This window comes from Homo sapiens, chromosome 3 (assembly GCF_000001405.40).
Source record: "Homo sapiens chromosome 3, GRCh38.p14 Primary Assembly".
NCBI classification, from domain to species: domain Eukaryota; kingdom Metazoa; phylum Chordata; class Mammalia; order Primates; family Hominidae; genus Homo; species Homo sapiens.
In genome coordinates, this window is record NC_000003.12 from 119,763,202 (window position 1) to 119,778,199 (window position 14,998).

Here is a 14,998-nt window from a genome sequence, read left to right on the forward strand (position 1 = left end):
AACAGATACATGAAAAAAATGCCCAACATTACTAATCGTTCGAGAAATGCAAACAAAAGCCACAATGTGATATCACCTCATACTGTTAGAATGGCTATTATCAAAAAGACAAAAAGTAAGTGTTGAGGAGGATGTGAAGAAAAGAGAACCGTTGCACATTGTTGGTGGGAATGTAAATTAGTACAGCCATTGTGGAAAACATTATGGAGGTCCTCAAAAAATAAAAAATAGAACTACCATATGATCCAGCAATTCCACAACTGGGTGTATATCCAAAGGTAATGAAATCAGTGTGTGAAAGAGATATCTGCACTCCCATGTTCACTGCAGCATTAATCACAATAGCCAAGATTTGAAATCAACCTAAGTGTCCACCAACAGATGATGGTATACACACAATTGAATACTATTCAGCCTTAAAAAAAAAAAGAAGGAAATCCTGTCATTTGCAGCAACATGTCTGAACCTGGAGGGCATTATGCTAGGTGAAATAAGCCAGGCACAGAAATACCAGCATAATGCCATGAACCAGGTGTAATGCATCCACACACATACACATATGCTATCACTTGCATGTAGAGTAGAAAAAAGTTGAATTCATAGAAGTAAAGAGTAGAATGTTGGTTGCCAGAAGCTAGTGTGGTAGGGAGATGTTGGTCAAAGGATACAAAATTTCTGTTAGGAAGAGTAAGTTCAAGGGATGCATTGTAAAACCGTGGTGACTATATTTAATAACAATGTGTTATATTTTGAAAATAGCAAAGAGAGATTTTAAGCACCCTTTCCACAAAAAATGAAAAGTATATGAAGTAGTGCATATGTTAATTAGCTTGACTGAGCCATTCTACAACGTGCACGTATTTCAAACCATCATGCTGTACCTGACAAATATATATAATCTTTCTTTGTCAGTTTAAAGTAAATAAATGAAATAGTAAAGGATGTTGGCAGTAAGTCAAAGTAAAATGGAAAGAGAATCAGAAACGGTATTTATGACCTCCAGTGTCTACATATCAACTTTTCCCAAACAATTGTTCCATGGATAACTGCTCTTCAGGACATTCATAAGCAGGGCTGCTCCTGGTATTTGCAAGACCCAGGTCAAGAGGATGAATTGAAGCATCATATCATATGAAAATATATAAAGTTGTAAATTAGGCTAACATACTGTTATATAAAATTTATTCTACCCACCTACTTTCACAAACATATCTTTGAGATGATAACATTGAAAAACGGGTAAGCAGCTATGGGCTTTATGTAATTGAAAGATGGCAAGAACCAAAGATGGTAAGCTTAGTTATTATTGTACATGTCTGACTATTCTGTTTATGGTCCAGTAATATTTGGGCAAGTAATGAAATAAAGGCATACATGGTTTTTTAAAAGTTAGAAATACATATGTATATATACAAACAAATACATATATATATATACATTATGCCTGCAGTATACAGAGAATATTTCTGGAAAGGTCAATAAGAAGTTGGTAGGTAGCTGTTGCCAGGCATGGAAACTGGGGACTGGAGTTCACACCAGGGGAAAAGAGATTTACCTTTCTCATGTTGACATTCTTTTGTATTTTTATTTTTTTATGATGTATGTATACAACCCAGTTAATGTACAGATTTTTTTAAGTGCTAGAATTTGGAAACTGACACACTGTGAAGTAAGAAACATCTGGATCCATAAGGCTTATAAATAGCAGAGCTGGGATATGTGTGGGGCTGTCTGAGTTCAAAGCTAGGGCTCAGACACACTGTATCACAGGAATTTTTTGCATGTATTGATCTGATAATGTTTCTAAAAGATGACATAATCATAAACATTTGTTTTGCTCTTTTTTACAGATTGTGATTTTTTTGTAAAAGAAGCTGTACGAATCATCATAAATAATTCCAATAGTCTGCACTTCTCCCAAGGTGTGCACTGCTCATAAACTTGCCAGTGTGTGATTCATGAGAAAGGAGATTTATTTTCCTTAAACATCCAATAATTTAAAATGATTTTCAATAATAATAATCAAATGAAAAAGCTTCATTCTCTTCAGTGTCTTCTAGATGCCCTACTTAAAGAGAACATTTTCTTATGTCTCATTTCAATATTTTGTTAACTATGAGGATGTGCTGGTTTGTTGAATCAAACAAAAGGAAATGTTGTGGAATATTTTTCCAAGTAGTTTTGGTTCACTATTCACAGGACATTGGCATTATCTACTAAGGCTGAAAATGTGCATATTCCATGACTCAGGATTTTATCTCCTAGATATATATTCAACAGAAATGCATGAGTATGTGCACCAACAGGCATGACAAAAATATTTATAGTAGTGGTGTTCACAATAGTCCCAAACTGGAAACCCAAGTGTCCATCTCCATCGGAACAGAAAACTATACTTTGGTCTGCTTCTACAGTGGCACATCAACCCACCTTTGAGCTTTAGATCTAAGAAGTGTGTTCATGCAACAGCCATAGAGATGGTGCTATTGAAAGGCAATCTGCCCATCCTGTGTATTGACAAGCATCAGGATTCCAGGAGGATTCTTCCTGATTCAAAGACTGTCAAATAGGAAAAAAGAAAACAGTAAATGAACAAAAACATCAACATGGAGTCCAAGTAATGAATTTATAGAGGAAAATGTATGCTACTCTGAAAACAAAGCTTATGTTAGAGAATATCTTACTGTAAGAAACAAGGAAAATTGCAGAAACATTTGCTGAGTGTTTTTAATAGGAGTCAAAAAGAAAGGGTCTTTTCAGAAACTGAAGTAGGAAATAATAACAGACAAGGTCAAAAAATAGATGCAGGCTGAAAAGAAAAGGAAGTGGGCTAAGATGGGAAAAATATAAAAAGATTTAAAATCCAGCAACAAAATTTACACATTCATTTGGATGCAGTGAAAAGGGCAGAAATACCACAGCAGAGAATAAAATTGATAATGTTGGCAACACATTTATTAAGTGATCCAACATGGGATGGGAAGGAATGGGCAAAGAGATTAAAATGACAGAAGTTAGCTGTAGATGACCTATCCCACAGCAATCGGAGTTCTTGAAGAAGAAACCAGAACAAATAAAATAGAAACAATAATCAGAGTTTAATAATTAATTTTCTGAGTTTTTTTTTAAAAAAACTAATTATACAAACTTGAAAGGGTTCACCTTGCCCTAGCAAAACTAGGATTGGGACACCTTTTTTTCCCCCTGAGGATCACTGACAAAAAACACTGCACCAGTAAGGAAGCAACTAAATTTTGTTTTGTTCTTTGAAAAAGGCTAACCTGAGCTAGGTAAAGGTTATATCATTCACTTTTGAAATAAACCATCGAGAACACAAAATGACAAGTGAGTTAGGTTGGGCTGATGGGATAGAAGGTGGGAGGGGAATGCTATACAGCTGGGAACAGCAGACTTTCTCTGAAGGGCCAGATGGTAACTACATTAGGGTTTGCGGGTCTGATGGTCGCCATCATAACTGCATACTCAACTCTGCCGTTGTAGGGTAAGAGCAGCACTCGATGACACAGAAATGAATGCACATGACTGTGTTCCAGTAAAATTTTATTTTAATTAAAATCAATTCATGTTTGAAAAAGGATTTAAAGTAGCTTCTAATAAAGGACATGTGTAATGAAACTTAAAATATGATATTTTCTTTAAAAATCTTTATCCTTATGTAGACTTCTAAAACTATGTTTTGCATTTAGACAGTCAAGGAAAATACAAGTTGTTATACAATTCTCATTGACTAATTGAAGTTTACTAGGAGAGGAAAACTTTTTCTTGATACCGGCAATCTTTTACTTATAATGGCTTGAGTTAAAATGCTCCAACTTTTCTAATTTTTGCTTTTGAAAATAAAACACCTATAGTGACAATAAAAACACACATTTAAAGCCAAGTGGTCATAGTGACTGGAGCCATGTAGTGAATTGGGGCTAGACTAGTACGATCAATAGCGATACAAAATCACAATGAACTGTCTGAGGCAGAAAACTTTTTGTATGGATGCGTAATCAGATATAGTGAATCATTGTAAAGAGAGGCAGTGCTTTAGCTTGAGGCAAGGTAAAATCCAAAAGGAAAGTGTGCAGTGTGGGTAAAGGATCTCTTTAGGATGCGAAACTGTTAGCACAAAATTGTTGGGAATTCTAAGTTCCTGAAGTGCAGAACTCCCAGACAAATTATGTTAGAGCCTGATTGTTAGTTCAGGAGGAGCTTCCACTGCTAACTCCCATCCTCCTACTCAGTTCTAGGCCACTGGTACCCACTTGAGGGTAGAGTTGTATTTACAAATACTTGGAGTGATTTTATGCAACAAACTGCACAGAGGATTATAGACTCAGTTAATAGGGGAGTGGAGAATGCCAGCAAGCCCCTGAGTTAGAGTGAATGGCCTTCAACTGTGCTTACCAATTGTGGAACAAAAGCCAGCTAGAACCCTAGCAATATAGTAGGGTTATGGGATCTTTGGAGTGTTGCTTTTCTGGCTGGATACCTCCGTGGACAGTGGGGCCTTTGCCTGAGTTCTTGTCCTGTGTCCAGGAAGAATGAGGTATGCAGACAAGTGGAGGGTGAGCAAGATGAAGAGAAGCTTTATTGAGTGTTACAACAGCTCAGAGGAGACCCACAGTGGGTGGCTTCTCTTTGTAGGCAGGTCATCTGGTCGAGTGTTCAGCTCTCAGCAAAAAGGAGGCAATGGAGTGGGTGGCTCCTCTCTGCAGGCAGGTCATCAGGATGAGTATTCAGCTCTCAGCAGAGAAGGTAGCGCCTCTCTGCAACTGGTCATTCAGACATCTCCTCTGCTCTGGCTGAGTCCATGGTTTTTTGATCTTCAGAGAGGGGAAGTGCATGCTGATTGGTCCATGGGTAGCCATGGGCAGGCCCAGGAAAAAGGGATATAAGCTCCCCCTCCAGGCAGCAGGACTGGCAGCCCGGCGCCCAGGCTTCAGGCCTTCTTGGCATGAAGGTGGGACTTCACTGAGGCCCTGCCCCCTTCTGCCCAGGAGCTGTCTGCCTCCCCTGTCATTCATGGCACCCAGGCTCTTCCTGCAAAGGGGTGCCTGCAGGCCAGTGCTGAGCTGCCCTCAGCACCCCCTCAGCTTCCCTCCTGTGCTCTTCAGTGCCCAAAGACAGGAGGGGGCCAAGGCAGCAGGGGGCTGGCATGTCAGCACTGCCCTGAACGTGCGCCCACCCTGCTGGCCTGTGACAGTGCCCTGGCTCGGCCCCAACCTTGCTCCACAATCAGAACATGCACCAGGAGTGGGGAGAAGCCAGGCAGCAGGAGCAGGCACTTGCAAGCCTGTTAGGGTAGGGGGACATTCCAGGGCCCCCAAGAGTTCAGGGATGCCTGAGTCTGCAGCCACAGTTTGGGCAGCTGCAGCTGTGCCCAGCAGCAGGCTCCTGCCTGCTCCCAGTCCCCCAAGAGCAAAGGGAGGCTCACATCTGCAGCCACGGTTGGGTGGCTGAAGCCCTGCTGGGAGGGCAAGGCTCCTGCCTGCTCTGTGGAGTGGGAGGCCAGGGTCTACAGCCATGGTTTGGGTGGCTGCAGTGGCACCGGGGGAGCTCCCACCCCAACTCAGAAGGGGCGGGGCTCCTGCTTGTCCCTAGCTCCCACCAGCTCCATGGAGGGTGCAGCCTTGGCTGCACCTCCCTGCTGCAGCCAGTGTGATGGCAGTGGCAGACCGTCTGATGTGGCCACTGCCATCAGTAGCATGGAAGTTAAGAGAGCAGGCTCTGGACCCAGACTGTCCGGATTGAAATCACAGTCCAAGTTCAGTGTGTCAGACAGGTTATTTAATCCCTGGGTTATTTAAGCCTTAGCCTCCTCATGTGTAAAATGGTATAACCATAGGTTGTACCTCATGAGGTTGATGTCGGGATGTAATGAATCAATTTATATAAAAAGCTTAGCAGGCAACACACGGTAAATACCCAATAAGCACCAGTTAGCTAATTTTACTATCACAAAGGGATAAAGGACAAAAGAGAAATAGGTGGAGCATGTTTCCTGCTTATAAGGAAAACGACCACACCTACCACTGTATAGGCAGTGGCGCAGTGGATATCAGTCTCTAACCCATCAGATGAGTTTCTCGGTCTCATTTGGGGAACAATAAGAGACAGAGAGAATATGGATGTGCTATCATCTGCCCCTCCCCTAACCCCTCCAGCAAGAAAGGGATAGGAATGAGTACCTCATGTTCTGTAGAAACTTGAGGTGTTGAGAATAAGGGCTCCCTCCCTACCAGATATTAGTGCAGTAGAAGGAAGCCATAAGTATTGCGCAGAAGAACTTCCCAGAAAACTTAGCTGCAATCTTGAAGGAGGCACCTTTTATGATAGGTGGCACATGAGGAAACTGGAAGTGAGGACTACAGTGGTTCTTGGCTGTGGCTGCATGCGAAAACCACCTGAGTACTTTAAAAAAAAAGTGCTTCTTGGGTTTCACCTCGGGCCAATTAAGATAGAATCTTTAGAAGGGGAGCCCAAGCAAACGGATTTTTTTTTTAAAGTTTCCCAAGTGATTTAATGTACATTCCAAATTGAGAATAGATGACGTGTTTCCCAAGGAAATTGTCCCTCTCCAAGCATTTACCATTCAGACTTACTACAGAAGATATGTCTTCAGTCCAGGTTCTAATTATATTTTCTTTGTAAAGCATAAAGAATTTCAAAGAAAAAAAATGTGTGAGAAAACATTGATACTGGACATAGTCATAACACTTGGTACTTCCTCAATAACACACTTGATAGTAATTTCCTGCGTAATCGTCTCTCTCACTGGCGTGTGAGGGCAGGGCAGCAGCTGTACCTAGTGAGTTCATTTGTTTTCATTTGCAGTGCTTAGCCAGTCCAGTCTCTGGCACCTATCAATCCCTTAGTAGGTATTTATTGAATGAAATTCTACATACTTAATGTTTGTAAAAGTAAACATGTGTGTGGTTTTAGAGATCATTTATTATGTCTTGGCATATTACGGTATGAAATGAGTTTCAAGGACATAATTCTAATTTATAACATTCATTCCTTATAAACGTTTAACTTTTTGTGATTCAACTTGTGAATGTTATTATCAAGGAACCAAGTAAGTCATAAAGGAAGGGAGAGGCCTTCTGTATGACATCCTAAAAGGAATTTATCCCATTTATCCTTGTACAAAAGACATTCGACAGCTTAAGAAACCTCCAACAGAAGTTTCAGAGAAGAAGCAAAAATGTTCTTTTCACTGTTTCTTTTATTTTTAATAAAAATTAAAGATATTTTATTAAAACATATCTATAAAATCAGCTTTCAATTATGTCAGAATGAAGAGGTCAGCAATACTCCTCCACTAAAAAAAAAAACCATACAACTGGACAAAATTGACAAAAGCATCCAGGGAACTAGAAATCTACTAGAGATGGGCAGCAAGTTGAAAAGCTCCTAGAGATTCAAGGAGAAACAGCAGAAGGCTAATTCTTTCCCCCACCTCCCATCAAGCTCAATCAGCAAGAATCGTAGTTTTCCAGTTTGGAGTTGGCCAAAAACCCAGTGGCTCTTCTGCCAGAGGAGAAATACTTATAAAGTTTTAAATTTCAATATTTAGGGTCGAGAAGTGGCATGAAATTTTGTGACTTTGCATATACTAAAAGTAGCAAACTCAGAAATGAATAGGGAAAGGCCACAGCTTTGTTAGCCCAAGGATGCAGTCCCAGTTGGGGTGAGCAGCAAACCAACCAGAGTGCTAATGGGGAGATCCTGGAAGGGTTGAGACAAGTTTTCCACATACCCCTGGCTGACTGAGAATACGAAAAAACTAACCCAGAAAAAGGAAAAAAAAGGAGAAACATAAGACTAAAATCAAGTTGGGACAAATAGAAAATAAATCACAAAATGATACACCTCAACTCAACTTTAACATGCATTAAATATTAGTGTATTAAACACTCCAAATAAAAGGCACAGGTGTCAAAATGGTTTTTTGTTTTGTTTTTTTTTTCTTAAAATTGTTTTGAAGAAAAGCAAAACCAAGCATATGATTTACAAGAGACACTTTTAAATATAAAAACAGTGATAATGAAAGTAAATAGGTGGAAAATGATACAACAGGAAAATATTTAGCATAAGAAAACTAGACTGGTTCTATTACTACAGCTGGCAAAAAAAAAATTTCAAAGCAGGCAGTATTACCAAAGATAAAGTAGGATATCTCATAAAAATAATAAATGAAAACCAAATAGTCTTATCCATTTATGCCCCTAATAACTGAGCTTCAAAATTCACAAAGCAAAACTAACAAAAAAAGAAGTAAACAAATCTCCAAAGTTGAAGACTTAACACCTTCTTTTCAATAGCATAGAACAATTAGACAAGAAATCAGTAAAGTTTAGAAGATTTTAACAAAACTACATACCTTTGCTTAACACTAATCAGAACACTATACCCAACCACAGCAGAATACATATTCTTTTCAAGTGTACATGGAACATTTATCAAGATAAGCCATATTTTGAGCCACAAAACATCTTTATATGTTTCAAACAATGGAAATCTTATAAAATATGTTATCTGACCACAGAAACAACTAACTTAGAAATCAGGAACAGATACATATTTTTAGAAAATCCCCAAACATTTGGAAGTTAAACAGTGTATCTCTAAATAACCTTTGGATCAAAGAAGAAATAACATGTGAACGATTGAGAAAATACAACTTCAAAATTTGTAGGATGTAGCAAAAGCAGTGCTTACAGAGAAATGGTAGCTATATGCACTCATGTTAGAAAAGAGGCTTAAAACCAGTTATCTAAGTTCCCACTTAAGGAAGATGCAGAAGAAAGGCAAAGTAAAACCAAAGTAAGTAGTAGGAGAGATGTTTTAAGATACACAAGAGCAGAAATTAATGAAACAGAAAGCTTAAAATGATAGAGAAAATTGACAAGAACAAAATTTTATTCTTTGAAGAGACTGGTCAAAAAGGAGAAATCACAAATTATCAACATCACGAACAAGAGGGGTATCACTATAGTGGAAGAGGGAATGTCACTATAGATCTTACAGGCATTAAAAGGATAATAAAGGAATTTTTGAAAACTTTATGACAATAAATATGATAGCTTAGATGAAATGGAAAAAGTCCTTGAAGCAGAATTTACCAAAAAATATACAATGATAAATAGAAAATCTATATAACCTTGTATCTATTAAGTAAATTGAATTTGTTATCAAAAACATTCCCATAAAGAAACATCCAGGCCCAGATGGTTTCAGTGGTGAATTCCATCAAACATTTAAGGAAGAGATAATGCCAATCTTATACAAACTCTTTCAGAAAATATAGAGGAAGCAGTTTGCATCACATTTTAAGAGACCAGTATAATCATATCATCTGACAGAGATAAGAAAATAAAGTTACAGGTCTATATCATGATTACAATTGCAGCATTGGTGGTATAGTGGTGAGCATAGCTGCTTTCAATGATTATGAATGCAAAAGTCGTTAATGAAATATGACCAAAACAAATCAGAATTCCAAAAAAGAGAGAGACAGAGTATTATTCTGGACAAAGCACATTTATTCCAAAGATGCAGGGTTAGTACAGCATTAGAAATATCAATGTAATTCAACATGTTAATAGAAAAAAGATAAAAAGCATATGATCTTAACTGAAAAATTAACACAATTCTACACTCATTCACGTTTAGAAATTCTCAAAAAACTAGGATAAAAAGGAACTTCCTCAACTTGACAAAAGCATCTATAAAGGTGACAGCTAGCATCATAGCTAATGGTGAAATATTGAATGTCCCCCACAAGGATATCTACCCCCACCACAATGCTATTTAATACTGTATTAATCGTTCCAACTAATGCAATAAGGAAAGAAAAAAAGCATAAAGATCAGAAAAGAAGAAAACAGTCTTTCTTTGCAGAAAACATAATTATTTACATTGAACATCCTCAGTAATACTAAGGAATAACTACTAGAACTATTTAATAAAGTCACAGTTATATCTCATCAATATAAATATATATACATACAAATATATTTTCTATATACTAGCAGCAAACAATTAGAACAGCGGTGTTTTTTTTTAAATTGACTTAGTATCCAAAAAACGTAAAACACTTAAGAATAAACTTAACAAAAGACATGGAAGGCCTCTGCACTAAAAACTACAAAACACTGCTGAGAAAAATAAATGATCTAAATTGAGAGTTATGCCATGTTCACATGTTGGAACACTCAATGTTGTTTTGTAGTCAGTTCTCCTCAAATCGATCTGGCAATTCAATGCAATCACAATCAATATACTAACAGGCATTTTAATAACTTTTCAAAGTTGATTCTAAAATTTATACGGTAAAGCAAAGAATACAGGAATAGCCAAAATGGCTGGGCACAGTGGCTCACACCTGTAATCCTAGCACTTTGTAGGGGTGGTGTGGGGGCTGAGGCAGGAGGATCACTTGAGGCCAGGAGTTTGATACCAATCTGGGCGACAAAGTGACACCCCATCTCTACAAAAACATTTTTTTTGAAATTATCTGGGCCTCGTAATGCACACCTAGCTACTCAGGAGGCTGAGGCAGGAGGATCACTTGAGCCCAGGAGTTTGAGGCTGCAGTGAGTCATGATCACACCACTGCACTCCAGACTGAGTAACAGAGTGAAAAAATGTCAGAAAGAAGGAAAGAAAGAGAGAGGGAGAGAGAGAAAGAAAGAAAGAAGGGAAAGAAAAGGAAAGAAGGAAAGAAAGAAAAGAAAGAAGGAAGGAAGGAAGGGCCAAAATAATCTTGATAAAGGGCAAAGTTGAAAGGCTCATGCTACCTACTTCAAGACTTGCTATAAAGCCTCAGTGATCAAGACAGTGTGATATTGGCATAAGGATAGATAAATAGACATATATTGCAGAATAGGGAATCCAGACATCATCTCATACATGTATGGTTAACATACGTTTTTTTTACTAAAGTTGCAGAGCTAAATAATGGGGAAAAGAGAGCCTTTACAACAAATAGTGCTGGAATAACAGAATAAATGAAAGAAGGAAAAATAGATCTTGACATCTACAACACACCAAACACAAAAATTAATTTGAGATGGGTTTCAGAATTAAGTTAAAAACTTAACAAATATCTAGAAAAAAAAAAAACAGAATGTCTTTATGACTTATCTACAGGACTCCAAAGACACTGGTCATTTAAAAATGACTTACAGATGCCTGCAGCTCATTCTGGGGAAAGGTCATTCATTGTTATGACCAATGTGGATACAAAGCCTAACACAAAAAGGTCTTGAACTTTTGGATTAGGTTGTTCTTGTATTGATCACTGTTCTCAAAAGGAAAGCCTCAACACAAGCTGTCTACCTATATCATCCCCTTGTACAAAGAAGGGAACTGAAACATAAAGAAGAAACAAGTCGTCCACTAGCATTGGTGACATCAGCAAAATTGTAGAATAGGCAGCTCCAAACTCCCGTCCCTCTACAGAAATACTGAAAAACAAGAAGCAACTGTCAGAGCCAACTTTGCTAGAACTCTGGAAAAGAGTCAGAAGTTTACAGCAATTAAGAAAGTGCTGAACCAAGAAAAAGCAACTTAAAAATGATAGGACATTTGCCAGTTTTTTAAATTGGGGGGAAAATGATAGGAAAACTTTGTGGCATTTTTACTTGTCCTTGCCACATCCCCTCTTTGTCTCAGCAGCAGTCTTAAAGACAGCATCCCGTGTTCCCAGTATGGGACCCTGAACCCTGGTTCTGGAGGGAGCAGAGCAGGCTTCAATTGCAAATTACTGGAGTTTGTTTGTCTGTTCTAACCTATTCGGGAGCTAACTGAAGAACTTATATGAGGTATGCATCTCGTTTTGCCTAACTGAGAACCCGTGAAGAGGGAGAAGTGACAATCATTGCTCAGAAACATTGTAAGGTGAATACAAAACCTGCAGCCACCTGGGGGCAAAAGATTAAGGTTCAGACATACAATAGAATGTCTGAGGTCTGGGAGCAAAAGCCAGGAAGAGAGTTCCTTTGGGAAATTAGGGCAATTCAAAACTGCCAGTGTGTATTCGGGAGTTTAGAAAGCAACATGCATGCCAGGACAGGACGCATGTTCAGAAAAGACCTGAGAAGACCCTAACCACTGGCTGATCTCTGGGCTCAGTACAAGTAGAAAGTAAAGGCTCATGGGAATATATATATATATATGTGTATATATATATGTGTGTGTGTATATATATATATATATATATTTTTTTTTTTTTTTTTTTTGAGACAGAGTCTCGCTCTGTCACCCAGGCTAGAGTACAGTGATGTGATCTCAGCTCACTACAACCTCTGCCTCTTGGGTTCAAATGATTCTCCTGCCTCAGCTTCCTGAGTAGCTGGGATTACAGGTGCCTGCCACCACACCTGGCTAATTTTTGTATTTTTAGTAGAGACAGGATTTTGCCATGCTGGCCAGGCTGGTCTCAAACTCCTGACCTCAGGTGATCCGCCTCCCTTGGCCTCCCAAAATGCTGGGATTACAGGTGTGAGCCACCATGCCCGGCCTCATGGGGAATTTTAAATGGCCTACCAAAGTGTTAATAGTGCCCCAAGACAGAGCCAATCCACAAAGACTAGAAGAGGAGGGGGTTTTACTTGTTTTGTTTTACTTAGCTCCTGGCAATCAAGGACAGCTCTATCAAAAACACTGGCTGAACACAAGCTAAGCCTTCAGCAATCAAGACAAGCAAACCGTAAGGAACTGGAAGAATCTGACTTCCAGAGTTAAAACACTGTAATATTTGAATGTTCAATTTTTAAAAATCACAAGGCATACAAAGAAACAGGAAAGGATAATGCATTCAAAGGAAAAAAAATAAACTGACAAAACTGTCCATGAGAAAGCTCAAACATTGAAATTATTAGGCAAAGACTTTAAAAACAACTGTCTTAAATGTATTCAAAAAACTAAAAGAAATCATGGAAACGAAGAAAGGAAACCAGGAAAATAATATATGAACAAAACGAGAATATCAATACAGAGATAGAAATTATAATGAGGAATCAAATAGAAATTATGAAGGTGAGAAGTATGATAACTGAAATGAGAAATTTCACTAGAGGAGTTCAACAGCAGGTTTGATCAGGCAGAAGAATGATTTAACAAACTTGAAGATAGGACAATTGAAATTATCCATTCTGAGAAGCAGAATGAAAGAGTGAAGAAAAGTGAACAAAGACTAAGATACCTGTGGAACACCATCAAGTGGACCAACATATGCATTATGAGAGTCTCAGAAGGACAAGGGAGAGAGAGAGACAGAAATTATATGTGAATGGCCAAAAGTGTCCCAAATGTGATAAAAGACATGAGTCTACATATCCAGGAAGCTCAACAAAGCCCAAGCAAAATAAACACGAAGAGATACACCAAGATACAGTATAGGCAGATTGTCAGAAGACAAAGAGAATCTTGAGAACAGTGAGAGAGAGGCAACTCATCCTGTACAAGGGAGCCTTAATAAGATTAACAGTTGATTTCGCATCAGAAACCATGGAGGCCTGAAAACAGGAGGCCTGATGCCACTTCACACCTACTAGGATGGATATAATTTTTTTTAATGGAAAATAACAAGGAGAGGATGTTGGAGAGGACATGAAGAAATTGGGACCCTTGTACATTGGTGGTGGGAGTGTAAAACGATGCCACTGCTGTGGTAAAGCTTGGTAGTTCCTCAAAAAGTTAAATGTGGAACTACCACATGACCCAATGTCTTAGTCCATGCAGGATACTACAACAAAAATACCATAAACTGGATAGTTTATAAACAACAAAAATTTATTTATCATAGTTATAGAGACCGAGAAGTCCAAGGTCAAGGTGCCAGCAGATTCAGTGACTGGTGAAGGGATCTATGATCCCTTCCTGGATCATAGATGACAGTCTTCTCACTATAACTTCAGGTGGAAGAACGGGCATCAATCATGAGGGCTCCACCTTCATGACCTAATCTCCTCCCAAATGCCCCACCTCCAAAACCATCACCTTGGGGGTTAGGATTTCAACATATGAATTTTGAGTGGACTCAAACACCTAGCAGTTCCACTACTAGGTATATATCCAAAAGAAATGAAGCAGAAGCTCAAACAAATATTTATATACCAATGTTTATGGCAGCATAATTCATAGTAGCCTAAAGATAAATGGATAAATTAAAGATGCTATATGCATACAATGGATTATTATTCAGCCATAAATAGGAATGATGTTCTGACCCATGTTACAACATGCATGAACATTATGCTCACTGAAATAAGCCAGACACATAAGGACAAATATTGTATGATTCCAATTACATAAAATACCTAGAATATGCAAATTCATGGAGATAGAAAGTAGATTAGAGGTTACCAGGGACTCAAGGAAGATAACAATGGGGAGTTGCTTAATGGATGGAGTTTCTATTTGGGATGATGAAGGGGTTCTGGATATGAATAGTGGTGATGGTTGCAAAACATTATAATTAATGCTACTGAATTGTACACTTAAAATGATTTAAATGGTTAATTTTATATTATATGTATTTTTTACCAGAATAAAAAATGTTGGCTGGGTGTGGTGGTTCATGCCTGTAATCCCAGCACTTTGAGAGGCCAAGGTGGGAAGATCGCTTGAATTCAGGAGTTCAAGACCAGCCTGGGCAACCTAGGGAAACCCGTCTCTACCAGAAAAAAATAGCTGGGCATGGTGACATGTGCCTGTAGGCCCAGCTACTCAGAAGGCTGAGGCAGGAGAATCGCTTCAGCCTGGAAGGTTGAGGCTGCAGTGAGCCATGATTGCCCCCACTGCACTCCAGCCTGGGCAACAGTACAAGATCCTATCTCAAAAAAAAAAAAAAAAAGTAAAGACTGATAAATTGTACCTTATAAAAATAAAATAAATACATAAAATGTGACTAGCAATTTTAAGACACTTAAATATTTGAATTAATTTATTGAATACCTGCTCTGGGAATTAGTGTTGT

The 14,998-nt window shown here is 38.4% G+C and overlaps 1 protein-coding gene across 4 annotated transcripts in view; it reads left to right on the plus strand.

Moving 5' to 3' along the window:
• Positions 1-3,901, plus strand: part of CFAP91 (cilia and flagella associated protein 91) — a 64,081-nt gene extending 60,180 nt beyond the window's left edge. For all 4 annotated transcript variants that reach the window (NM_001320316.2, NM_033364.4, NM_001320317.2 and 1 more), the window contains one exon: positions 1,851-3,901. The gene's annotated coding sequence lies outside the window, so the exon portion shown is untranslated. The remainder of the gene's footprint in view (positions 1-1,850) is intronic.